General features: G+C 49.5%; 1 protein-coding gene and 1 long non-coding RNA gene across 8 annotated transcripts in view, besides 7 other annotated features; one reads left to right on the top strand and one right to left on the bottom strand.

Moving 5' to 3' along the window:
* The window catches only part of FAM107A (family with sequence similarity 107 member A), a 63,494-nt gene extending 41,430 nt beyond the window's left edge, over positions 1 to 22,064 (top strand). For 2 of the 5 annotated variants that reach the window (NM_001282714.2, NM_001282713.2), the window contains 3 exons: positions 16,316 to 16,490; positions 18,817 to 18,973; positions 19,486 to 22,064. In NM_001282714.2, coding sequence (NP_001269643.1) covers positions 16,316 to 16,490; positions 18,817 to 18,973; positions 19,486 to 19,593 — 440 coding nt within the window. In that variant the 3' untranslated portion in view covers positions 19,594 to 22,064. Of the gene's footprint in view, positions 1 to 8,789; positions 8,873 to 15,757; positions 15,856 to 16,315; positions 16,491 to 18,816; positions 18,974 to 19,485 lie in introns of those variants that run through there. The other 3 variants (NM_007177.4, XM_047447370.1, NM_001076778.3) reach the window with 3 other exon arrangements.
* Positions 525 to 819: an enhancer, noted in NCBI's record as "tiled region #12039; K562 Activating DNase matched - State 4:PromP". NCBI's record gives its function as "activates a minimal TATA promoter and a strong SV40 promoter by Sharpr-MPRA in K562 cells {active_cell/tissue: K562}" and the evidence as "EXISTENCE:reporter gene assay evidence [ECO:0000049][PMID:27701403]".
* Positions 6,006 to 26,207, bottom strand: part of LOC107984079 (uncharacterized) — a 44,804-nt gene continuing 24,602 nt past the window's right edge. The window contains exons 2-3 of one of the 3 annotated variants that reach the window (XR_001740724.2): positions 13,391 to 13,434; positions 6,006 to 6,557 (exon numbers count right to left, since the gene is read on the bottom strand). This is a non-coding gene — a long non-coding RNA (uncharacterized LOC107984079). Of the gene's footprint in view, positions 6,558 to 11,366; positions 12,847 to 13,390; positions 15,763 to 26,207 lie in introns of those variants that run through there. The other 2 variants (XR_001740722.3, XR_001740721.2) reach the window with 2 other exon arrangements.
* Positions 19,436 to 19,959: an enhancer, noted in NCBI's record as "H3K27ac-H3K4me1 hESC enhancer chr3:58551949-58552472 (GRCh37/hg19 assembly coordinates)". NCBI's record gives its function as "activates a minimal SCP1, AML or CMV promoter by ChIP-STARR-seq in naive H9 embryonic stem cells {active_cell/tissue: H9 hESC(naive)}" and the evidence as "EXISTENCE:reporter gene assay evidence [ECO:0000049][PMID:30033119]".
* Positions 19,960 to 20,484: an enhancer, noted in NCBI's record as "H3K27ac-H3K4me1 hESC enhancer chr3:58551424-58551948 (GRCh37/hg19 assembly coordinates)". NCBI's record gives its function as "activates a minimal SCP1, AML or CMV promoter by ChIP-STARR-seq in naive H9 embryonic stem cells {active_cell/tissue: H9 hESC(naive)}" and the evidence as "EXISTENCE:reporter gene assay evidence [ECO:0000049][PMID:30033119]".
* Positions 22,884 to 23,884: an enhancer, noted in NCBI's record as "NANOG-H3K27ac-H3K4me1 hESC enhancer chr3:58548024-58549024 (GRCh37/hg19 assembly coordinates)". NCBI's record gives its function as "activates a minimal SCP1, AML or CMV promoter by ChIP-STARR-seq in naive H9 embryonic stem cells {active_cell/tissue: H9 hESC(naive)}" and the evidence as "EXISTENCE:reporter gene assay evidence [ECO:0000049][PMID:30033119]".
* Positions 23,885 to 24,385: an enhancer, noted in NCBI's record as "NANOG-H3K27ac-H3K4me1 hESC enhancer chr3:58547523-58548023 (GRCh37/hg19 assembly coordinates)". NCBI's record gives its function as "activates a minimal SCP1, AML or CMV promoter by ChIP-STARR-seq in naive H9 embryonic stem cells {active_cell/tissue: H9 hESC(naive)}" and the evidence as "EXISTENCE:reporter gene assay evidence [ECO:0000049][PMID:30033119]".
* Positions 24,386 to 24,886: an enhancer, noted in NCBI's record as "NANOG-H3K27ac-H3K4me1 hESC enhancer chr3:58547022-58547522 (GRCh37/hg19 assembly coordinates)". NCBI's record gives its function as "activates a minimal SCP1, AML or CMV promoter by ChIP-STARR-seq in primed H9 embryonic stem cells {active_cell/tissue: H9 hESC(primed)}" and the evidence as "EXISTENCE:reporter gene assay evidence [ECO:0000049][PMID:30033119]".
* Positions 24,887 to 25,887: an enhancer, noted in NCBI's record as "OCT4-NANOG-H3K27ac-H3K4me1 hESC enhancer chr3:58546021-58547021 (GRCh37/hg19 assembly coordinates)". NCBI's record gives its function as "activates a minimal SCP1, AML or CMV promoter by ChIP-STARR-seq in naive H9 embryonic stem cells {active_cell/tissue: H9 hESC(naive)}" and the evidence as "EXISTENCE:reporter gene assay evidence [ECO:0000049][PMID:30033119]".

Below are 26,207 nucleotides of genomic sequence, written 5' to 3'. Positions count from 1 at the left end.
GAGTAGCAGGCAATCAGGCATAAAGAAACTGGAGCCCGGCAGCGCGGTTGAAGGAGGTCTGCTGTCCAGTGAGGCATGACACAAGGTGGGGAGGGGAAGGGAAGGCAGATCTAGGAGAGCAACTGCCTTTCTATATGTGTGCATGCAACTATTTGGAAGGAAACACTGGGTGGTTTCATTTCTTAAGGTTGGGGGTTGGATGATAGGTGCTTTTTCTCTTCCATCTTTTTGTTTGCTTGTTTGCAGTAAGCACGTGTTTCTTTTCTATTCAGGAAATAAGCCTTTTTATTTAGAAAAATGAAGTTAACCTAATATATGACCAGTGTCCAAATAATTCGGAGAATACAGGGATGTAGGGGGGAAAAAAAGAGAAAGCAAAGCCCCGGTAAGCATTTGGGGTATTTTCCTCCCGACTCTCCTTGGAGAGAGACGTTTGGAGGAGGTGAAACGCTATCTCGTGCTGGGGTCCTGCACTGTGGAGGTCCGTGATTACAAAGCGTCAAGGGACTTGGGCTCACGGGCCAGCTACCCTCTGCCTTGGGCAAGGAGCTCGCCCCACCCGTAGGCCTGCCTGCCGACCGCTGGAGCCAAAAGCGCGAGGCAAACCAGCTGCCGCGTCTGCAGCGGCGGTGCCTGTCCCCGCGCCCCGCGCGGCCCGCTCTGGAACTGCTCGCCCTTCCCGCTTAAGCCCCGCCTGGGGGAGATCCCGCCACCCAGTTACTGGAACCACAGTTCTCCAAGTCCCAAAGCGAGAACTGGCCCAAACTTCAGGACTGGCGGCGCCTTCCTAAAGGAGGGTCTGAAATCTTGCTGAGGCGGGACAGGCAGAGAAGGAGTAGCTTTATCATCAGACGAATCTGATTTCCAATCCCAGCTCCGGCGATTTCCCTACAAAGCACGCCACCCTAAGTGTCCCCACCCAGTTCTCGATCGTCTCTCAAAGCTGCGGAGGGGGTCTCCCTAATCTGAAGGCCTTGTGTTCCCCCTCACCTCTTAGCTATCAACCCACGCAGAATAGCAAACACGTAGGAGTGTTTCCAGGGGCTGCACGCCTGCGGGTAAGGAGCCAGGAAGGGAGCGGGGCCTCGGAAAAGGGACGGAGGCTGCACTGACAAGCACTTAATATCCCTGGCTCCTTCCCTGCACCACTCTACAAGTGTTACCCATTGACGGTGTCCAGGTTCTTGGCGTCATGAACAAAGAATTGGACAAAACGCACAAACAAAGCAAGGAAAGAATGAAGTAACAAAAGCAAAGATGTATTGAAAATGAAAGTACACTCCACAGGGCGGGAGGGGGGCCGAGCATGGGGCCTCAAGAGCCCCGTTACGGAATTTTCTGGGGTTTAAATACCCTCTAGAGGTTTCCATCGGTTACTTGGTGTACGTCCTATGTAGATGAAGAGGATGGAGTGAAGTTATATAGTCATTTACTGGGTGCATGCCCTATGTAAATGGAGAGGATATTTCCTGTCATCGCCGAAGTGTCTCCATTTGATTTCGTTCTGTTCTGGGAAGTCAGCGTGAAGCGGCCATATGTTCCCTGCCTCCAGACCCTATTCTCCTGCCTCAGAAGGACACTGCCAATTGTTATCTCCATTTAAGAGATAAGAAGACCGAGGTTCAGAGAGCTTAAGCACCTTGCCCATGGTCCACTAAGGAACATTTTCTACCCCACAAAGAGGTAGAAAACACATTCAAACTGCGGTCCATCCATGCCAAAGTCTGCACACCTTCTGAGGATAGTCACAATAATGGCTGATGATTGTCAGCACTCAACGATCACCCCATCTCTGCTGTACATCTGCCATCTCATCAACTCCCTTCATTCATTTATTCATCCAGCTAATATTTATTGGCCTCTGTTTTCCAAGGTGCAGGGATGTATTTATAAATAAAACAGATCTGCCCCTCCTCTCAGGGAGCAGAGTAATGGAAACCCCTATTGGAAACATGAGGAAACCGAGGCTCAGATGGTAACATGACTTGTCTAAGGTCATACAACTCATCGAGAGTGAAGCTGAGATTCCAACCAGGACCGTGTGCCTCTGGACCCGCTCTCTGGCTGCTCCACACAGGGAGCGGCAGGAAGTGAGAATGGGAGTAAGGAGCCAATTTGGCCATGTGCTGAAGGGGTGAGCACTCCTTTCGTTGAGAAGCCCCCAAGGAGGACATTACAGATTCAGACCCAAAATAGAGGCTCTTTTCATTAACAGTAGCCTCAAGTCATGCAGCAGATAATATAACACTGGGTGACTCATGCCTTGAGGCCGGGAGTTCAAGACCAGCCTGGGCAAAATAGTGAGATCTCGTCTCTAGAAAAATGTTTAAAAATTAGCCCAGCATGGTGGTGCATGCCTGTGGTCCTAGCTACTCAGGAGGCTGAGGTGGGAGGATCACTTGAGCCCAGAGAGTTGAGGCTGCCATGAGCTGTGTTTGCTCCACTGCCCTCCAGCCTGAGCAACAGAGCAAGACCGTGTCCCCCCCCAAAAAAAAAGAAAAGAAAAAGAAAAAGAAAAACGTTTATCCCAAGGTATTTCAAAATAATTTTTTTTTTTTTTGACAGAGTTTTGCTCTTGTTGCCCAGGGTGGAGTGCAATGGCGGGATCTCAGCTCACTGCAACCTCTGGCTCCCGAGTTCAAGCAACTCTCCTGCCTCAGCCTCCTGAGTAGCTGGAATTACAGGCTCCCGCCACCACGCCCGGCTAATTTTGTATTTTTAATAGAGACAGGGTTTCACCATGTTGGTCAGGCTGGTCTCGAACTCCTGACCTGAGGTCATCCACCCGCCTTGGCCTCCCAAAGTGCTGGGATTACAGGCATGAGCCACCGCACCCGGCTAAAATAATTTCTTAATATTAGAGTAAGACATGCTCACCATAGATATTTCGAGAAATTGAGACTAAAGAGGAGGAGGCCTAACACATAATCCCACTAACCACGGGCGGCCACACATAACATTTGGAAATGCCTCCTTCCAAACCTTGCTATGCATAGTGTGTGTGTGTTTTACACTGTTGAGACTGTTCTGACTCTAGTCTTTAATTCCACTTTTTTCAGTTGGATGAAAATCTTGAATGCTCGGCCGGGCACAGTGGCTCACGCCTGTAATCCCAACGCTCTGCGAGGCCAAGGCAGGTGGATCACTTGAGGTCAGGTGTTCGAGACCAGCCTGGCCAACATAGTGAAACCCCATCTCTACCAAAAATACAAAAATTAGCTAGGCGTGATGGCAGGTGCCTGTAATGCCAGCTACTCGGGAGGCTGAGGTGGGAGAATCACTTGAACCCGGGAGGCAGAGGTCGCAGTGAGCCGAAATCGTGCCACTGCCCTCCAGCCTGGCAACAGAGCAAGACTCTGTCTCAAACAAACAAACAAACAAACTTGAATGCTCTTAAGTGAGTTATCAAAATAATAGTTGCCACTTACAGAGCCCTGACTCCATGGCAGCCACGGTGTGAAGGGCTCTCCAGAACATATCTCCTTTGTTCCTCAAAAACACGTCTGCCCCATTTTAGGGAGGAGGAAACAGAGAGTTGAAGGTCACCCAGTTGTCCAGCAATGGAGTCAGGATTGTGGTCCGGGTTGGCACCAGAGTCCATGCTCTCAATCACAGGGCTAGAAGGGTCACCTCTGTGGAATAACTCCTGTTTGGCCATGCCTGGGAGGCAATACAGTCCAGTAGTTCAAGTCCACTTGAGGGGCGTTAACCTGCATCCTACCTGGAGCTCAGGTCATGTTCCTGGAAGGGAGGAAAGCATCTCTCTGCACTATGGACAAAAAGGCACCTCCCCAGGTGCCTGCGGGCATCAGCAACTATACTTCTTCTCCGCAGCCAGAGGGGCAGACGCAGCCTCCACCCCTGCCTCTGCCAGGTAGGGCTGCCAGATAAAATACAGGGCACTCAGTTCCATCTGAATTTCAGAGAAACAACAAATCATATTTTAGTGTAAGCATGTTCCAGCTATGTCATGGACTATACTAAAAAGTTATTTGGTGCTCATTAGAAATTCAAATTTAACTTCGATGTGTGACATTTTTATTTGGTACATCTAGCAACTATGCTGCCAGGAATCATGAAGTTTGCTCAGTTTGACAGCTGTGGTCTGCCCAGGTTCTCCTGCATGCATGCGCGCACACATACACACACACACAGAGAAACAGACACACACACGCACACACACACATGCTCCCTCTCACATCCTCTCACCATCCATAGATTCACTCACTGTGCTTCTTGTCTGATTACAAGGGAATTAAAATGTACTGGGGATGGGGGTACCCCAGGGTCCTTCTGCAGCTAAGAGACCAAATTAACCATGTCTAATTGCAGCTGGGTGGAGAGCCAGCTTTCAGAAACAAGACTCTAAGTTCTTCCCCACCCCCTCTCACTTTCCCATTTTCACGCTTGAAATCCCTCAACTGGGTAAATTCTTCCCGGTTCAAACTTGTTGTAAAGGCGACTCTCATTCCTTTTATAATCTCTCCACAGATCCCATGACAGGTTCTTTCTGCCAGCACAGCTTCTTCTCCCCCAACCCCCGAGTCCTTTCTGCAGAGCATGTTTGAGAGGCGGGGGGCACGGTTTAATCCTAGGGCTGTTTTGTGGGTGGCTGCTCAGAAACCCCATTGAGGCCTTGAAAAGGGGCCTTGGAGATTTAGACTGAATACAGGGCTGAGGAGGAAGTTTTAAGTTGCCATGGAAACTTCTTGTTTGATGTTCGTGGGCCCAGATAAGCTGTTCTAGGCGCCCATGGGCTTGGAGAAAGGGGGCAAAAATGAAACAAAAGCTGTTTGGGGAGGTTATTTTCTGCACACTGCAGCCCAGCCCACTATAGATGCAGGAAAATTCTCCACCTCCCTGTCAGGACTGCCTCCCCTGGTCTTCCCTGTCCCCCTTCCTTTGGGTTCCTCTGGTTCCCAAGAAATCAGAGTTAAAAGGGGATGGGAGGGAAGACAGGAGGGGTGTGCCCAGCCCCTGGGCTTCCCCCTTTGATGCCCCAGCTCACCAGGGGGCCGAGCAAGTATGCAGATCCCCAGGCCCCTGGCTTCCCAGAGTCCTTCCTTTTGGAAGAATAGGAAGACCTCCAGGGAAAGCCACACAGAAGGAGGCAGGAGACAGCGACTGTGGCTTGAATTATGCAATTACCTGGAGTAAACGCCTCAAAGGCTTGTTTGTTCAGAGGGCCTCTGTTTTCCCATATTCTGATGACATAACTGAGCCAGATGTGATTCCTAACTAACTACAGTTGTTTGGGAAATGTTGCTCTTTCTCACATTTTTAATTCTTAGAGTCTTTTTCTGATAACAAAAGTAATATATGCTAGGGCCTTTTTTTTTCTTTTAACACCGCAAACATCACAGAAATGCAGTGACAAAGGAGAAGGGCCTGTAATTTTACGCTGTAGAACAATGGTCCTCAAACTCTTTAATATAAATGAGCCCCCAGAGAGGTATGTTTAAAATCCAGATTCCATGGTGGCTTCATTCCTGTGATCCTAGCACTTTGGGAGGCTGAAGCAGGAGGAACACTTGAGGCCAAGAGTTCAAGACCAGCCTGGGCAACACAGTGAGATCTCATTTCTAAAAAAAATAAAAAATTAGCTGGGTGTGGTGGCATGTGTCTGTAGTCTCAGCTACTTGGGAGACTGAGGTGGGAGGCTCGCTTGATCCCAGGAGGTCAAGGCTGCAGTGAGCCATTATGGCACCACTGCATTCAGCCTAGGTAACAGAGTAATGCTCTGTCTCAAAAAAAAAAAAAAAAAAAAAATCCAGATTCCTAGGTTCCTCCCTAGGAAAAAAAAAAAGCAAGAGCATTTTTAGCACTCATTTCAAATGACATCTAGTAATAGTATTTGAGATACACTGATCTAGAGTTGACCTCTGCTAACAGATTAGTGTATTTGCCTCCACACTAGTTCTTTATACATATACCAACTTTTTTATCTTGAAAAAAAAAAGAGATCCTACTACATATGATTTTTCATTGAATATGTAGAAGACATCTTTTTCAGGTCAATACATAGACATGTTTATTGGCTGCATCTCGTCTTGGGGTGTAGCATAGTCTCTTGCTGATGGAGTGTGGCCTGGGAAAGGGTGGTGGTTGGCCGCTGATCTCACGTACAGTTGCACCTGCACATGGACACACAGCAAGATGGTGCTGTAACAAGCTCAGCGCTGTCAAGGTTTTCGGTGTCTTCAGGTTAACAATAGTTATTGAGCCCCTCAGTACTGGGACAGGAAGATAGGTAGGTACCTGCCCTGGGGCTAGCAGTCTGATGGGTTTGTATACAAGTTGGACTGTGAGAAGAGTTTTTGTGGGAGAAGCACAGTGACTCCCAACTGCCCACGGAAAATGACGCCCAACATCCGAGGACTACTGCCCAGTTCTCCTTGGCTGTCAGGTGCGTGTTCCTCTGAAGTGTACCAGGTGATGGGCTTCTGTCTTCTCCGGGGATGAGCAGGAGCTGTCAGAAGTTCCCCCGCTCCAGGATCCTTCTTACTCTCCAACTGTTAGAAGGCACTGGGATTGGTTCATCTGAGCCACCAAAGACCCTAGGAAATATTCAAAATACTTCTTTGCAGAGCAGGAGGATGTGTGCAAGGAACCAGGGTCAGCAAAGAGTGGTTTGACAAGAATCTAGCTGTCCTCTTCTACCAGGAGAGTTTGGGGAAGTTAAGGCAGAGCAGGGTGGGAGGCTGAGGGGGCTACCATTCATAGTGCCTCAAGAAATGCAGAATTGGGGAAGAAGAAAAAAAGGGACCACACATTGTTTCCAGAAAATTGTTTTATACCCAAGAATTTAGGACCCTCTTAGTTTAAGTGGCTCGAGAATGGTCAGCGTGGCCAAGACTCCCTGGACATGCCTGCCCTGTCCCTCCCACTCCACCCCTGTCTCCCACCTCCCTCACTCCCAAGATGGCACCCAGCCTGCCTTTACATCACACCAGGATCCACCCAGTCTGGGCCTTTCCACTGGCTCTTCCCACCCTACGAAGACTCTCCCATGTGTACAGACTTCACACAACTGACTCCTTGTGATTCTGCTACCCTAAAACACCACCCGCTCTCACCTCACCCAGCCTTGCGTTCATCACGGCATTCCTCACTGCCTGACGTCATCCTGAATGTCCCCTTCTTTACTGTGTGTCCCCCTTGAAGGTAGGTTCCCTGACAGCAGGGATATTACCTGTGTCATTCACATGGTACCCCCAGCACTTAGAACAGTGCCAGGAACACAGTAGGAATTAAATAAATGTTTGTTAAATGAACAAATAATATAGGCCAAAGAAGACACAAGGTTGCCTTGTTAAAGCCTCCATTCACCTGTGATGCATGTCCTAGGCCTCATCACCTTCTAGCCAACCAAGACTCCATGAGAAAGTAAAGTTGGGGTGGAGGCCTGGTCTAACTGGTAGACCCCAGCTTCCTCACTGGGGAACTAGGATGACACTAAACGATAGAAAACACTTCCAGCTTTTCAAGTGAAAGCTGATTCTGAAATTAGGAGAATGCCTCCATTATCTATAAGCATCCAGGCTGGCCTTAAGGATCTACATACATTTTTTACTTTTCTTGGGTTTTTTTGTTTGTTTGTTTTTTGGGTTTTTTTGAGACAGTCTTGCTCTGTCACCCAGGCTGGAGTGCAGTGGCCCAATCTTGGCTCACTGCAAACTCTGCCTCCCAAGTTCAAGCAATTCTCCTGCCTCAGCCTCCCAGGTAGCTGGGATTACAGGTGTGTGCCACCACCCCTGGCTAATTTTTGTATTTTTAGTAGAGACAGGGTTTTACCATGTTGGCCAGGCTGTTCTCAAACTTCTGACCTCAAATGATCTGCCTACCTCAGCCTCCCAAAGTGCTGGGATTACAGGCATGAGCTACCATGCCTGGCCTACTTTTATATTTTACATTCACATGTTCATTCATTGAGCCACTACTTATGGAACACATATTCTGCCAGGCAAAATGCACCATGCTGGGCTCTGGCCTCAGATCACGTAGAGTCCAGGTCTCTCTTGGAGAAAAGTCCTATATGCTGAGCTTTGACTATGTGCTTCACTAATGTCATCTCATCCATGTCATCTCCCAACCACCCTGGTATGCTCCACATTTGACAAACACAGAAACCAAGACACAGAGACACTGAGTGGCTGCTGAAGGGGCTGGTGCTGGAGCCAGGGCCAACACATGAGCCTGCTGAGACCCAGACACGGTGCATCCCCTCTCCCACGCTCTTCCGTTGGCTCCTCTGTGAAGTTCCAATGACATTCAAGGTATCAGGAAAACGCTGTGTACGGAGTTTCTGACCCATTCGTGGATAATTAAGAACTGACCCAATGCTGAGCAGTTTCCCCTCCCTTTACACCCCACCCTTTTCCCCCCAGAGCCATTTTCTCCTGAAGAATCCACACCACTGCCTCAGGAAGCTTGGCTTCCCCTCCCATGGGGAAGTGCTGGAATCCACTCTTGCCTGACCCTCCCATAAGAAACAAGGGAAATTCCTTTACGTGAGCCGCCTTGCTCAGAACAAAGCTTGGCGTGTTTCTTATTCCTCATCAATCTGACAAAATGGGTATTTATTTGTGCCTCTCAAGCGTGTGGCTTGGACATGATGTTCCGCATCGTGGAAGTGGCCGTGCACCAAGTGGAATATCTGTTACTATAGTAACAGTTCCTTTTTATTGATACCAGAATAAACAGGAATGCAAAGGCTGTCTCACTTGTTGGCACATTTCAGCAGCCTCCGTTCCCAGGGGTTTAAGAACCGCCCTCTAGAGGCAGCCCTCCTTGCTAGTCTGGGACTTCCCGGTGGAGTGAGGAACCCAGCAACACGCTCCTGACTTCCCTTCCCAAGGACTCGACCTGAGAAGTAAGACCATCTCTGTTCTGTTTCATCTGCTGTTGAGAGCGGTGCCGTTCGGGAGGAGGTGGAAGGGAAGGAGGGCAGACCCGGTACACTGAAGTGGGCTGTCAGTGGACCTGAGTGCTTTGAGTTTAGGTACCCGGGCTATGTCCCAGCATCCATAAAATGATACGGGAGATGCCTCCAGGCACCCTGGGTTTCGGAAAAGGGTAGGAGACAAAGAAGCGAGCCCCCTGGCATAGCCCTGCATTCTTGTTGATCTTTTTCTGCTGCATCCTCAGGTGAATCTGAATTAATGCATGATATAGCCTCACCTAAGTCAATTATCACACAGTATGGGGGTTTAATTCTCAGCACAACAGACAGAACACAGATTTCAGCTTCAGAGTTTGGCTCAGATTCAAGCTCTTTCCTTCACCGGCTGTGTGATTTGGGGAAATCAGATGACTTCCCTGAACTTCAGTTTCCTTGACTGTAAAAAGAGGATAATAACAGTACCCACCTCTTCAGTCTGTCGTAAGAATTTCATATTTCATGAGATATGGCTGCTAGGTGCTTAGCACAGTGCATGGCACATAGTGCACGCAGGTTAACGTGTGAAGGGCCTGCCTTTCTGGTGAATTTGGCTTTAGGACTTTGCAATACAAGGCAAGTCTGAGATTGGGCCAGAAATCAAGAGCTGTAGGATTGGGTGTGTCACTTTTTGAAACTGCTACCAAACCCAAGTAGCTTTGAGCTTCAAGGCAGCCCCCACGCCTGCATCTCTGGGTGGCTTAGATCCTGAGTGGCCCTCTTAGTTCTGTTGGTGGTGAGTACCTGCTGGAATTTTCCCTGCAGAGGCATCTGCCAGGTAAAGTGGCTGACATCATGCCACTAATGAGCCAGCAGGGATTCCAGGTCTGCTGATGCTTGTTCCAGATCAACTGCACAATGCTGTCCACTAACCTTGCTAAGTATCCTCCATGTCTAGCCCTGGACTCTGCTATTTAATTGGTTCAAAATCCTAAATGTCCACCCAACATTCTCCTTCCGAGGTAGGAAGTTGCAACGGACCTGAGGCAAAATGTTCAGGAAGTCAGCCTTGAGTCATTGCATCCAAATGGACAAGCAGCTCTGCTGGGGGCTTCCGAGCATCGACCAGAAGCTGCTGGGAGATCTGGAGGTGGCTCCGAGATACACTGTTCTTTGGCTGCTGGCCAGTGAAATACAAATAGGCACTTTCCCCATGGAGAGGAAAAAAGCCAGAAGGGTCAGGAAATCCAGTGACCGTGCTTGTCACTTTTACTGAATGCCTGTTTTTCCTTTGCCAGTCGTTATTTTGAAAGCCTCTCTTCTCCTCTGCCCTGGCATCCCATTAAATGCTGAACCAAGAGGGTTCTGAATGTGTTCGGAACCCAGCAGCTTGAACAGTAATGAGGAAGTGGGGGCACAGGAGGGAAGGCCACCAGCTGGTCCTCTCCTAAACAGAGACCAGCCTGAGGCCAGACAGGCCCGTGGACTCTAGCTTAAGCCCAAAGCTGCTAGGGCCAGGCTGGGGCTCCCCAGTGAGAGTTTGCATTTCACGTAGGCTAGGAGTCCTCAAGTTAGCAGGCCTCCATGTTCTTATCTATAAAATGGGCTCACACAGCCTCTTCATTGGGGTTTCTTGACTATCTAGAGAGAGAAAAGGGACATAACCCTGCTTTGTCAACTAAAAGACATTTTGCACCTTGAAGACAGTGGAGAGGTAGAAAGAGCATTGAATTTGGCGTCCAAGGTCCTGGCTTTGCTGCTTACTCTCTGTGTATCGAGACAAGTAGCTTGGCCTCTCTGAGCCTTAGTTTTCTCATCTATAAAACAGGGTACCACTGGCTGCCTCCAAGGGTGATTTAGAGATCCAGATCAAATTCTAGTGGTGACCACAGGGTTTCTTCAGGACAGAAGTACCATAGTTTGTCTTCGGTGAGCATCACTCTGCCAGGCGCTGGGCTAAGCACATCATGCCATTGTATCACTTCACCCTCCAAACTGCTCCATGAATAGGCTGTTATCCTTGCTGTATAGAGGCTCAGAGAGGTTAAGCTACTTGCCCAAGGTAACACAGCTGGGAAGGATTGCCACCATGAATCAAACCCACTCTGTCTCCACTAAAACATCTGCTTTAACCATTGCTTTACTGGCTTATGTGTCATTTGTTACAACTGATGCCATCGAAGACAGAAACATGACTACCAGAACAGTGGAGAGGCAAGTGGAAGGGACACTGAGGCCTTAGACAGCCTGGGGTCCCATGGCTATTGTCAAGACGAACTGGGCCCCGAGACTCCATCAGTGCAGCTCTCCTTCTGTCTCTCCTTACTCTCTCCTGTGGCTGCAGGCACCAGTGTTTGGTTTCAAATCTGCCACCCTGCATTAGCCATGCATGCCCCAGTGGCCCGGTGCACTCTCCGTGGGAGCAGCAGTGATCTCTGCTGAGCCTTGCCTGGTGTGGGGCCAACATCCTGTGGAGCCTGTGGCAAGGAGCTCTGGGACCTCTTGGGTCACCAACAGAACCAGGGAGGAACCAAGCAAGGGGTTCCAAATCTTTCCTCAGACCCCTTATTATCCCCACCCCAGGAAAAACAACATCAGTCCCATAAACTGCATATTGAGAATTATTTGCCATCCTATAGTCATGCAAGACACTCAATAGCTGTCGCCTACTGGTGGCCTCCACCCCATGCCCAGCTCTTTAGCTCATCCAATCTTCACAGCATCACAATTCTACAGAGGAGCATCCCAGAGGTTAGAGACCATCCCAAGATCACACAGCTGCTAAGAACTGTGACCTTAATCAGATTTGCTCACAATAACCAGGCCAACTACAGTCAGCTGAGATCCTTCAGGACCGAAGCAAATAAGTTTGTGTTTTGGGTTTTTAACTCCATGGTTTGCAAAGTTGGCTGACTCTAGGAATCACCTAGGGAGCTTTTAAAAATCCCCAAAGCCAAGCCGCCCCCCAAACCCATTAAATCAGAATCCCTGTGGTGGGACTCAGGCACTGGAATTTTTGAAACTTCCTGTGGTGATGCCGATATGCAGCCAAAGTTAAGATCCACTGATTTAACCAGTGTGGTTTCTGAGGATGAGAAGGCTCCATCTAGGACTAGGAATGGGATTTATTAATAGTGATTGTTAATAGCAGCTAACAGGGTGGTCACACTGCCATTCCAGGGGCACCATTCACAGTTTAATCTATAGGAGTTGAGGACTTGCTGTGAGGTACCCAACCAGCCTGTTGTATGTGGCAGCCCTGGTAGCCAGCCCCAAGCGCTCAACTCTGTACGAGGCATTTGCCAAGCACCTTGCAAGTATCACCTCGTTTATGATATCACAAGTTCATGGAGGAGGATTCTAATGTAACGCTCATTTTGCAGAGGAGGAAACACCAGATCAAAAGCAGCTGTCCCATCTCAACTCTGCTGTTCAGTGGGAAACAGCCATAGACAATAAGTGGGCGTGGTGTGTCCCAGGGCTGTGGGATTTGGTCCAAAGGCTGTAGTTTCCAGGCTCCAGCTCCAGAGGGTAGGGAGGCATGGACAGAGCTGACATTCGAATGCAAGTCTGAATGGCTTCAGCCTCCCTATGCTACTGCTTCCTCCTGCATTTCTTTAACAGCCATGAAGAATACAAACAAGCCACTTACCTTTCTCCTTCGTGATTGGCCCGCTCCTCCTTCTCCCTGCTAGCTCTTCTCCTGGGTGTTCACCTTTTTCTTTCCAGAGAGGACATGTCTAATGCCCACTTCCCCTCTTAGCTGCTCCACAGCCACTCCCCGGATGGACCCCAGAGTCTTGGATCTCTCGGGATGCCCAGAAGCCTTGGGAACAACCCCAGTCCTCTGCCTCAGGAGGCCCAGCTGACCGCCCAAGACAGCCTGGATTTTCTTGGCCTGCCACCTGTGCTTTATTGAGTAGTCTCTTTTATAACAGGACCTGCATGAGGTTCTTCCACCCAGAGACCTTGGTTAAATAAATTAAAAGGCAGAAAGGCTGGCTCAGCTTTCTAAGTCCTGGGGGTCCCCAGCAACCCTCCTCACCCCACCCCTCATAGGTGTATACGTGGATCTCACAGGGGTTGTTTGCTGGGGTTCAGCACCCTGAGTGGCAAAGGCGATGGTTTTTCCCCTGCAGCTCTGAGCTAAGGCACCAGCCACATCCCTCAGGGTTCCTGCCTCACCCACCACACCAGCCTGGCCTCAGGGAAATACCATCATCCACAGCTCACTGCTGATTTAATTAATTTTTTTTTTAAGGCCTGGAGCAAGTCATTGAGCCAGGGCTGACCACAGATTGGAGCTGGGGTGCAGGACTGGCTTCATAATTGACAGGGCCCAGTGCAAAATAAAAAAGGAGTGCCACTTGTTCAAAATGCATTTGGAATTTCAAGACAACAACAACAGAAGGTCAAACCAAACAGGGCCCCTCTTCCAAGGGCAACCCTGTGTGACTGAGTCCGACCGTCTGGCCCTGGGGCAGCCAACCCACTGGCTGGCCGGCAACTTACGTATGGGGCGAAGGTCTCAGCCAGGTCAATCACAGATTTTTCCCCTGGAAGTTAACAGAAGAGACAGAGACCACCCATTGGAAGTGAAGGAAACCAAAGTCAAAACATCCCAAGGCCTCTGATGGTTTCCCCACACAGCAGCGAGAATAACCTTTTTATAACTGAATCAGGTGCGCCTTTCCCCGACTTGAACCCACCCGTCCACCCTCACTCCAGGCGCTCTCCCAGTCTCTCAGCTCACACCACTCCCAGCACACTATGTCTTTTTGTTCCCTGAACAGACCCAGCTTGTTCAAGGTACATGAGTCACACATGCTGTTCCCTAGGCCCCAAATGGCCTCCTTCCTCATTCTCAACTGTCAGATCTTAATGTCGCCTCCTCAGAGAGGCCCTCACCACACCTGGCTGACAGCGGGTCCCTCCTTAGTCTCTATGGGAGCCTGGAGCCTTTTGTGGTCTTTCGTTTTCATTGGCTTGTGTGTGTGCTGACTGTTGGCCTCCCCAGCAGAGTGTGGGTTCTGTGAGCGCCGGGATCTCACTTGTTTAGTTCTCCTCTGTGTGTCCAGTGTCTACCACAGTGCCAGGAAAATCACAGGAACTCGAACATGTGTGGAATGCATGACTATTTTTATTATTACGCACTTTCTCAGTGGTCATTCCCGTTACTCAGGAGCTCTTGATTTTGTGTACTTATTTTGTATCTGGCCACATTCTTGAACTCTCTCAGTTTCAAATGCGTTTCTGTTCATCCATGTGGGAATTCTGGGTGTATGGCTTTATCTATACAAATATTAAGGCTGCCATCTCCTTTCCTAAAGTTATCCAACTTATTCTATTTCCTACCTTATCACTTTGGCAACATACAGTGAGTTCTTTTAAGGATGGTGTGGCTGATGAAAAGCAAGCAGCTCTGGAAGATTTGGGGGGCACAGAGGGACTAAGAACAGGTGAATAGCTGGGGAGCCAAAGTAGTTATTAAAGTGTGGCATGAGCTGAACAGGAAGAGAGCTGAGGTCACGGGAAGGAAAGAGCGTAGCTGAGAATTACTCAGTCAAAGGATGGGCGACACTTGACAATAGGAATAGGCAGCAAAAGAGAGAAGATCTCAAAGCTCCAATCTGAATCCAGGTGTTCTAATACGTAAGCACCCAGAGAGCTTGATCCCACAGACAATAAAATACCCACACTAAGGAGTGGGAGCTGATACAGCCAACTATGTATTTTGTCGAGTGCCCATTTTAAAGTAACTCTAAGTACTATTATGATCACTTTTTAAGGACCAAAAAATTAGGAAGGATATAACCTGAAAGCAAACAGCCTTATGAAAAAGATGAGAAAAAAAGGGAAGTTAATAAGAATTCTCATTACAGAAATGGTTCTGAGAATATGAATTTGAGAAAAAAATTAACATGTCTATCCTCTGACACTTCACCTGGCTACATCCAAAATACCTTATAATAATTAACACTTTTTCCAGGTTACACAGCACCTTTACGTATGTGGTCTTACTTGCTCCTCCTAACAGCAGCCTGTGATGGGTCATCATAGAAATGCCAAACACGGGTCTGGTGGCCACCGTTGCAAAGTACAGTCTCCTGTTTTATGCCCAGATTCCTGACATATCACCTTGCAACGTGCACCCCGTCAAACCCCCCTCTCTGTATTTTCTGACCCCAATAAGCTGTTTGCCACTTTCAGGTTTTCACACATCCCTGTTCATCCATGAAACTGCATTTGGGCAGAGAATGGTTCTCATCCCCTTCCCAGTGTGGGGGAGGAAATGAGAGTCTGTCCACAGGCAACATGGTGGCCCTCAAGCAGGGGCTGAAGCCTGGTGTTTGAAATGGGGACACACTCCCTCAGTTGCCACATGAAAATCACATGCCACCGGGCACTGGTTCCCCAAGACCAAAGAAAACTTCAAAAGTTGCATTGGCAATTACCAACAAATGTGTATTGATCGCCTACTGCATACCAGACCAGACACTGCCAACTGTCAGGGCCTGGCATATAATAGGAGCTCAACCTCTGCAAAGCTAGACTCATGAAGAGAGCAGAGCTAAAGTCTAAATTTTCACTGAAATTCCTATAAGCAGCTAATGGCCAGGCAGTGTCTATACCTTTGAGGCCTTTTTTTTTTTAAGTCAGTCTCTTTCTCTCTCTCTCTCTCTCTCTCTCTCTCTCTCTCTCTCTCTCTCTCTCTCTCTGCTGTATTTGCTTTTGGGCATTTCAAGGATAAGGAGCCAGTTTGTAGAAGAGGGAGCCCTTGTGTCTGAATTTTAAGTAAACTGACAGATTTCAAACCGCTGTGGTAGAAGTGGGGCCATTGAGTAGCCAAACATTTGACAACTATCCCTTTGCTATTAGGGACACAGCAGTCTCTGAATTTCATGCTCTCCTCTTTGATGTGAAGAAAATGAAAAGCTGAACAGTTGTGGAACTGTGGATAGAGTTAGACAATAAGGGTAATACTTTCTTTTTATCACTGCATTTATCCAAATTGTTTTTAACAAGTACATGTTACTCTTTTTAAATATATTTTCCTTTTCTGTTACAAGCTCATTGAAAAACAGAAACTCAAACATAATTCCTTTTATAGTGGGCGAAAACTGTTGCAAAGCCAGGCCAAAAATATGCATGTGTCAACCCGTATTTTGTGACCCGTTATCATTTTACTTCTATACTCCAGACACATCGCAAACATCATCTCCAATTCTGACAGCCCTGTGCATGCGTTCCGTTATGATTTCCATTTTATAAGTGAAGAAACTAAGGCTCAGAAAGTCAGGTAGCTTGCCCAGGTATGCGCAGTAGCAGGTGGCCAAGGTCCATCTGACATGAAAACCTTGCCCTTCAACTGTGTCCCATGGGGCAGGGTGAGATTATAGGCTCAGCTCTGAGCTACTCCTCTGCCCATCTCTACAGCCGCCATGTACTCGGAGATCCAGAGGGAGCGGGCAGACATTGGGGGCCTGATGGCCCGGCCAGAATACAGAGAGTGGAATCCGGAGCTCATCAAGCCCAAGAAGCTGCTGAACCCCGTGAAGGCCTCTCGGAGTCACCAGGAGCTCCACCGGGAGCTGCTCATGAACCACAGAAGGTAGGGATGAAGCCCTGCTGCCTGGGCCCCGCAAGCACCTGGGCCTGTGGGGGATGGGGAAGGTGACCCTGGAGGAAAGCAGAGCTGGCTTTCATCCTGGGGCTCCTGGAGACTGAGGAAGGCTGAGGTGCCCCACATGATCACCGGCAAAACCTGTAAAGACCCTGTCCCCAGTGGGTCCCTGGGAACCAGAGGGACCAAAAAGCCCTGTTCTCTTGCCCAGCCACCCATTTCATGCCCACACTCCAGATACATTTACTGAGTACCTACTATGTGCTGGGCACTGAGCCCAGACCTGGGGATACAAGAATGAATGGGACCCAGTTCCTGTCCTCACAGACAGGGACGGGTGCATAGCCAGGCAGTAGGATGGGTGCATTGATGAGGGCATAAATAGGCCTGAGACCCCAGAGGAGGAACCCGAGAGGGGTCTAAAATGACTTCACAGGAGCGGTGCTGCCTCAGCTATGACCTGAAGGGGGACTGGAGTTAGCCAGGCCGGAGGTGGGTGCTGGATGGCAGAGGGAACCTCATATGTAAATGAACAGGAAACAGGAGTCACTCACTGTGCCTGGGGCATCGATTGCGTGGTGCAGGCCAGGGCAGAAGGATGGACTAAGGAAAGGTCTACAGCAGGGGCACAAGGTGTGGTGGGCCCGTCTGGTGAGGTGGGATGGGGGAGCTCACAATACCAAAGTGGGCAGGAATGTTACAGAGGCCCAGGATGGTGGCTGGCTTTTCCGTGGAAGGCCGTGGTGTGCAATGACAGAGACGAGCCAGAGGGGCATCTGGGAGGTGGCAGGGGTGGGATGGGGCAATTGATGGGATGTGAATTGGAGAAGAGGAAGGCTGAGCCTCCCCTTGGAGGACTGGGAAATACTCCTGCTAACCAGTAACAGCGTGAACGCAGCGGTGCCTTCAGAGCGCCCTCTGCTGGCCGATTCTGGTATTAGAGCCGGTTGTGATTTCTATTCTTGTTTTCAGTTGTGTGACCAATATCCTAACAGTTATCATTTTGTACACTGAGTCGCTTTTGTTTTTGTTTTCAATTAGTATTATAATATGAGCATTTTCTCTGAATGGTTTTTAGACTCGTCCCTTTAATATCAAAAAACATCACCACAATCAAAAACAAAAGCTTAAAGACAAATCAGAGAAAGTATTTGTAATATAAATAAATTTTATTTTTAAAACTCACATATACAAAAAAAAATTCAGATCTCTTGTTTTTTTTCTTTTTTTCTTTTTTTTTGTTTGAGATGAAGTCTCGCTCTGTCGCCCAGGCTGGAGTGCAGTGGCGCGACCTCAGCTCACTGCAAGCTCCACCTCCCAGGTTCATGCCATTCTCCTGCCTCAGCCTCCCAAGTAGCAGGGACTACAGGTGCCCGCCACCACACTCGGCTAATTCTTTTGTATTTCTAGTAGAGACAGGGTTTCACTGTGTTAGCCAGGATGGTCTCGGTCTCCTGACCTCGTGATCCGCCCTCCTCGGCCTCCCAAAGTGCTGGGATTACAGGCGTGAGCCACTGTGCCTGGCCCAGATCTCTTACAATGGACAAGGAAAAAATGAATAAAAAGTAATACAGTACAGCCAGACATGGTGGCTCACACCTGTAATCCCAACACTTTGGGAGGCCGAGGCAGGAGGATCACTTGATCCCAGGAGTTCAAGGCTGCAGTGAGCTATGATTGCACCACTGCACTCCAGCCTGGGCAACAGAGCAAGTCCTTGTCTGTAAAAATAATATTGATAATACAGTTAATTCACAAAAGAAGAAATGCAAATGGCTGGTAAACATATCAAATGTTGTTCCATGTGACTAATAAAGAAACAAATGAAAAGCAGATATTCTTTCTGGCCTACCAGATTCTCAAATATGAAAAGATTGGCTGGTGATGGTGGGGAGAAATAGATGCTCTTGTACACTGTTCAGAGGAGGATACACTGGATAACCTTTCTCAGGCACAGATAGATATATGTACCTCAAATCTTTTTAAAGAGCCTGACCCAGCAATTCTACCTTTAGGAAAGTATCCTAAGAAAATAACCAGAAATAACATAAAACTTGGTCTCTGCAGTCAAACAGGCCTGGGTTCAAATCCTCATGTGGCCTACCTGTAGCTATGTCTTGGACTGGTATCTTCAGCCCTAGGAGCCTCAGTTTCTGTCCCTGTAAAATGGGACAGTAATGGGTCCACCTCCAAGGCTACAGGGAGGATTGCACAAGATAATAATGGGGGTTGGTGTCACCGCAGGAAGCAGCCCTGAGGCTGGGGGAAGCGGGAAGGTGATGGTCTCCTGACAGCTCCCCACTTCCCACCCCAGGGGCCTTGGTGTGGACAGCAAGCCAGAGCTGCAGCGTGTCCTAGAGCACCGCCGGCGGAACCAGCTCATCAAGAAGAAGAAGGAGGAGCTGGAAGCCAAGCGGCTGCAGTGCCCCTTTGAGCAGGAGCTGCTGAGACGGCAGCAGAGGCTGAACCAGGTGGGTGATGGGCACCCAGCAGGGACCACGCATCCTCCAGGGCTGTCCTCCAGGGAGGAGCTCTGCTGTGGCCACAGCTAGTAAGAGGGAAGAGGATCAGCAGACAGAGCACTGGACTAAGAGTCCACTCCTGGCCTGAGTCCTCCCTCTGCCATTCACTTTGCTAGGTCCTTAGGGCGAGTGGCTTCCCTGAACCTCAGCTTCCTCACTGGCCCAGTGTACTGCATGCTGATTCTGATTTCATTCTTATAACTGTCTTGTGAGCCAGGTGGCATTCCCATTTTAGAGATGGGGAAGCTGAGGCCCAGAGGGGGTGAGTGATTTGAACCAGGCTGCACAAGGAGAACTCAGTCTCATGCTCTGTGCCCCAGCTACCAGGCTGATAGCAAAACTCATCCCCAGGTTGGTTCTGTTTCCCCACTGAGTGGGCCCTTGGTCCAAACTCCACAGGTTTTCAGAGTAGGAATCCCCCTAGCTCCACCCACTTCACTCTCTGCTTCTCCCTCCTTCAGCTGGAAAAACCACCAGAGAAGGAAGAGGATCACGCCCCCGAGTTTATTAAAGTCAGGGAAAACCTGCGGAGAATTGCCACACTGACCAGCGAAGAGAGAGAGCTGTAGGGCCAGCTGCCGGGCTCAGGCCACTGCCCACCCTGGCCTGGACAGCCTCCTTCAGCCCTTCTGTACCTGGCAGCCCTGGGCCCCAGGCCCTGGGACGTCTGTGATGTTCCCACCTGCTTCTGTAGAAATGTGTCACCCCAGAGGGCCTGGCTCTCCCTGGGAGGCTGGGGCCCCTAAGCTCCTAGGTTTTCCTTCCAAGCACCCAGCCCTCCTGCTCCAAGAGGGATAACCTGCACCCCTCCCTGCAAGGGGTTCAGAGCCCAGCACAGGAGCTTTCTCTGGCAGAATTGAGGAGGAAGAGGTGGCCCTCTGACTTGACAAGCCTTCTGTTCTGCCCAGGCCTTCCCACCAGGAATCTCCGAGGCTCCCCAGGGCCCCGCTTCTCCGTACACCCCAGCTCCTAGGTCTCAGAGAACTCCCCCACCTGTGGTTTTACCTGCAGCCAGCAGAGCTTAGCTTCAAGGACACCTGCCTTCAAAGCCACTGAGGGGAGGAAGGGCAGGGCAGACTGCAGATGGCCTTGTTGCTGGCATCCCGGCCAGGTGGGCGGGGACTAACAAAGACAGCTGTTTAGGGTCTTCTCCCCTCACCCATGCTTTCATCATCCCCTCCGCACAGCCTCCCCGTCCAGGCCTTCTAACCACACCTACCCAGGGCTGCCGCATTCCTGCACTCAGAAGTCTGCAGCGGTGCCTCACAAACTTGATTGTGCATAAAAATCACTGGGGATCTTGTTAATACAGCTTCTAACTCAATAGATCTGGGAGATCCTGCATTTCTAACAAGCTCCCAGGTAAGGCGGAGGCTGCTGGTGTGAGGACCATGCTGTGAGCAGCAGGGCGAGAGTGCCCAGGGCTGATATATATTGGAAATATCACCCCTGAAGCCATCGCTGGCCCCCACCTCCTGTGGACTGATGCCCCAGGGATTCCCACCCCACTTCTGCAACCCCAGGTATCCTTCATTATCCACCCCATCCCAGACTCCCACCCCAGGGATTGCCCGTGAAGACTTTGGCCTAGCAAATTGTGTTGGTTATGTGAGTGTTGTTTTAATCAGAGATGTACATGATTGCCAATCTGCATTTCTTACCAGTGTGACCACACTGTTACGATGCAATTCTAGCCAAAAAAAAAAAAAAAAAAAAAAAAATTTTTTTTTTTTACTTTTTCCTAGTCTTATGGAAAGCAAATATACAATGATTTTCAGTAGGCTTCTGGAATAGAAACAGTGGTTTGAAGACCCCACTGCCACCTTTATGGACTGGCCCCTTTGAGTCTGAATCCCCGGCCTCTGTCACCTGAGACCCAACCCCTAGCTGGGCCAACTCCAGTGAATTCACCCATTTTTCTTCTTCAGAAGGCCTTTCCTGTGTGAGACCCACATATTTTAACCTTTTGCTCCTATCCCATTTTTAAAGAATTAGAGAATAAACCAGGCCTGTTTCTTTTCCCCTGAAATCCCTGCCTCTGGCTTCCTAAACCCATCATCTAAGGTGACAGAGCAGTGCTGGAATAGCATCTCCTTTCACTTTCCCAAAACTGCCACAGATAGCTGCCACTGGCATGCTCTTTGATTCCTGGAAGCAAACGTGGGACTGTCGGAGGAAAGGGATTGTTCTGGTCTTACTCATAACTGGGTGGTTTGAGGGTGACTGAAGTCGTGCTTTTCCTGTGTGTGCTGCCAGCACAGGGCTGTAAATGCAGATATTGCGCCTGTGTGCGTGTGTATAAGTCAAGCTCCAAGAGGCTCCTGAATGTGACTGGCGTGCTGAGAATGTGTTTACGCTGTTTAATGTCTGCCAGGTGAGGGTTACACTGAAGATGCACAATCCCTAAAATAAAGATCACCACTTCCCCAAAGAAGCAGCCCTCGGGTCCATGTGTTGTTCAGACATGTGAAGAGAAGCAAGACAGAGGGTCTCAGATGGACGAGGGCTCTCCAAGGGAATGCCTGGGGATTCACCCAGTGGTCCCCAGAGGTGCTCCATGGAGGCAACAAGTCATTCCATGAAGCCCCAGAGGTAGAAGGGACCTCAAGCACCACGCCCTCCAGGGCAGCCGTGCAGACGACCTTGGTTCACTTTTCAGGGGTCGTCCCAACTCTGTATCTCCAGCCACTCCAACTGTGGAGGCTGTAAATCCAGATTTTCACTGTTCCAGTCTCCTTTGCAGCTTAGGATGGCTATGTGATCAGGTGTGGCCAATGAAATTGAAGAGGAAGTCTACCTGGGCTTCTGGGAAAGCTTTTCCAATAAAAGACACAGGCATGGCTAACACCTCCCTGGGCCTCTTCTTCCTACCTTGATTGAGGGTGTGATGCCTGGAGCCACAGCAGCCACTTTGCTACCATGACAAAAAGGCCAAGAGAATCACAGAGTCATTGACCCTATCATTATTTCACCAAGCCAATACCAGCCGCCATCCTTCTCCAGAATTCTTGTAAATAAAATAAATCCCTCTTTGTTTAAACCATTGTTGGTCAGTCTCTGTTACTTGCAACCAAAATCATCCCTAACTGACACAGAAGGCCAGTCCCTGCCTGTCCAAAATTACCTGCAGGCTGTGCTAAAAATCCAGATTCAACTTTCCCATCAGAAGCCTATTGGATCAGGATCCCCAGCTGCAATGCCTGGGATCTGTTTTTCTGCACCTTCCCCATATAGCCTACCTAGCATGAGTCTGAAAACTGGTACTTGGACATGACTAAAGCACACATCATTCAACAAATATTTATCGAGTTCCTGCTCCATGCCAGGATGCATGCCATAGGCTGGGACACAGTAGAGAACAAAGGTGCAGTGCCTCCCCCTCATCTGATGACTGCAGTGGTCTCCTCCCAACTGGTCTCCCCTACTGGCCTTGTCCCTACACCCTGTTCTCAACAGAGGAGCCAAAATGATCTTCCTCCAGTCTAAGGCAGAACTTGCGACTCTGCACAGAGCCCTCCCTGGGCTCCCAGTGGAGTCTCTCCTGCATTCCAGGTGGTCCTGCGAGTCCAGCTCCCTCTTAGCCTCCGACCTCCTTCCTGCACTCTCCCACTTGCTCACACAGTCCCAGTTGTGCTGGCCTCCTACCCTCTCCAGGCATGCCCCATCTCCATGCCTTTCCACCTGCTCTTCCCCAGCCAGGAGTATCCTTCCCTCCAAGAGCCTCGCGGCCCACTCCCTTGCTTTCTTCAGGTCTTTTATCACACTTCTTCTAAATGAGGTCCCCTTTAGCCACCCCATCTAAAATCTCAACTTCTGCAGTCTTCCTCTGCCTGCCTTGCCTTCTTTTTCCCCCTTACTGTTTATCACCATTGAACATATTCTATATTTTACTGATTTGTCTCGTGTGTCCCTCCTAATGATAATGTCAGCTCCATGAGGGCAAAGATTCTTGTCTATCTTGTTTACTCTGAATCCCTAGTGCACAAGGCCTAGAGAAGATGCTCAGGAAGTGTTTGTCGAATGAAAGAATGAGAAACCCCTTCTCCCTCTGCAATACACCTAGCCTTCTCCCAGGTCCAGCCCATAGCAACCAGAGAAGGCCCTACCTGCCTCCTTCCTCCACGGTTTCCACCCTGACCCACAGATATCCATTTGCTGGGAAGCCCTCATCTGCCCACTTGGGCATTCATCAATATACCTGGGCCTCACTGGCATCATGCTGGCAGGACCCGCATCAGAGCCGCATGGCTCCTGCACACCACAGGAGTGTCTAGAGAGTCAGATCATCCCTGAAGGCTGATGATGAGGCCATCACTCAAGCCTGGAGACCATGGAGAAGCAAAAGGCTGCTGCAGCAGCTCTGACTTCAGACCTCTCCCTAAACAGGGAGCCAAGACAGCAACCCCCGTTCTTGCGGGGGCCACACTCTCTCGGGTCCTGGTTTGGGTTTGCAGAATGCCCCTGTCAATGGCAAACCAGCACTAAACACAAAACCTGGGAGAGAGGGCTGACCTTAGGATGTGAAGGGACCCTCCAACCCTGGTCCTGCAGCGTGTGTGTCACAAGAGTCCTCACACCACAGGAGATTTGGCAGGGCAGCCTCACCACACTTGAGATTATACTGACTCCAAACCCTGTGAGGGTGGGACCCTGTCTGATTCTGCTCACCTTTATCCAGGGCCCTGAAAATAGTTAGGCACCCCGGAAAGTTGTGAATGGATGTCAGTAATGATCACTTTCACTCATATCTGTGTGAAGAGACCACCAAACAGGCTTTGTGTGAGCAACAAGGCTATTTATGTCACCTGGGTGCAGGCGGGCTGAGTCCGAAAAGAGAGTCAGCAAAGGGAGATGGGGTGAGGCCATTTTATAAGATTTGGGTAGGTAAAGGAAAATTACAGTCAAAGGAGGGTTGTTCTCTGGCAGGCAGGGGTGGGGGGTCACAAGGTACTCAGCGGAGGAGCTTTTGAGCCAGGATGAGCCAGGAGAAGGAATTTCACAAGGTAAAGTCATCAGTTAAGGGAGGAACAGGCCATTTTCACTTCTTTTGTCATTCCTTAGAGGCCATCTGGATGTATACGTGCAGGTCACAGGGGATACGATGGCTTAGCTTGGGCTCAGAGGTCTGACAGTCACTGCATTTATAGGGGGCCAGCAATGTCAGCACCCATGACAATCAGATGTCTTCCTCCCCACTCTGCAGATGAAGACACCTGGGCTCAGGTAAGTGAAGGGCCTTGCCAGAAGACATAAGGCAATGCCCCAGGAGAGATGTGATTCTCACCCAGAGTGACCTGTCTGCAGAGTCTGCATTCTTTCCACTACAGCCAGGCCTTGCTCCTGGAAAGTGCTCCTAGGAGGCCCCTGCACCAGCCTGACCATGCTCCATGGGATTCAGGGACCTACTTTATCTGCCATTTGTCTGTCTGAACTTGAAATACTTAACCTCTGCACTATAAAAACAGACTCGGCCGAGCGCAGTGGCTCACGCCTGTAATCCCAGCACTTTGGGAGGCTGGGGCGGGTGGATCACCTGAGGTCAGGAGTTCGAGACCAGCCTGGCCAATGTGGTGAAACCTCGTCTCTACTAAAAATACAAAAATTAGCCAGGCATGTGGCACACACCTGTAATCTCAGCTACCCAGGAGGCTGAGGCAGGAGAATCTCTGGAACCCGGGAGGCAGAGGCTGCAGTGAGCCAAGATCTTGCCACTGCACTCCAGCCTGGGCAACAGAGCGAGACTCCATCTCAAAAAAAAAAAGGACTCAGGTCAATGCAGACCTACCTTAGTTCTGGGGTGAGGAATGTCCACTTGCTGCTAAACTCCATCCCCAGATGCCCCAGACGCCTCCACCCACAAATTCAACCAGGATCAGGATCGACTGGGCACGGTGGCTCACACCTGTAATCCCAGCACGTTGGGAGGCCGAGGTGGGCGATCACTTGAGGCCAAGAGTTCAAGACCAGCCCGACCAACATGAAAAAGCCCTGTCTTTACTAAAAATACAAAAATTAGCTGGGCGTGGTGGCACGTGCCTGTAGTCCCAGCTACTTGGTGGCTGAGGCAAGAGAATCGCTTGAGTCCGGGAGGTGGAGGTTGCAGAGATCATACCACTGCATTCCACACTGTGTGAGAGAGACTCCTTCTCCAAAAAAAAAAAAGTCAGAATCTACCATTGTGATGGGATTCCTTGCATTCTTTGCATTCCCATTGCTGAGCAGTAACGTAAACAATTTGATTTTTCAGTGCCTCCAAAGACCCACTAAACCAGTAACCACCTCACTCCTGCTAGTTTCTTGCCTTACAGTGCCCCCACCTGCCAGACTTCAGAAGAACAGAACTAATTGCCTTAATCTCCTTCTGTCTGGATGTCCTAGTCAGCTCAGGCTGCCGTAACAGAACATAGACTGGGTGGCTTAAACAACAGAAATCTATTTTCATTTTCTTTTTCTTTTTCTTTTTTTTTTTTTTTTTTTTTTTGAGACAGTCTTGCTCTGTCGCCCAGGCTGGAGTGCAGTGGCACAATCTCAGCTCATTGCAACCTCCACCTCCCAGGTTCAAGCAATTCTCCTGCCTCAGCCTCCCAAGTAGCTGGGATTACAGGTGCCTGCCACCATGCCCAGCTAATTTTTGTATTTTTAGTATAGATGGGATTTCACCATGTTGCCCAGGCTGGTGTCGAACTCCTGACTTCAGGTGATCCACCTGCTTTGGCCTCCTCAGGTGCTAGAATGACAGGCGTGAGTCACCGTGCCCAGCCAGAAATGTATTTTCTCACAGTTCTGGAGGCTTAGAAGTCTAAGATCAAGGTGCCCTCATGGTTGTTTTCTGGTGAGGGCTGTCTTTCTGGCTTGCAGATGGTCACCTTCTCACTGTGTCCTCACACTGGGCGAGAGGGAGAAGAGAAAGCAAGCTCTCTGGTGTCTTTTTTATAAGGACACTAATCTCATCATGAAGGCCCCATCCTCATGACCTCAACTAACCCTGATTACCTCCAAAGGCCCCATCTCCAAATACCATGCCACTGGGGATGAGGGTTTGACATATGAATAAGGGGGAGACAAATCTTCAGTCCACAGCAAGGAGATGTTTTGAGTTGATTTTTGGCTGACACTCATCCAGAGAGGAGGACATGGGGCTGGGCTTGTTTTCCAAAGCTAGCCCTTTCATTACATGTACTCG

Source organism: Homo sapiens, chromosome 3, assembly GCF_000001405.40.
Source record: "Homo sapiens chromosome 3, GRCh38.p14 Primary Assembly".
NCBI lineage: Eukaryota > Metazoa > Chordata > Mammalia > Primates > Hominidae > Homo > Homo sapiens.
This window is presented reverse-complemented; position numbering and strand designations above follow the sequence as displayed.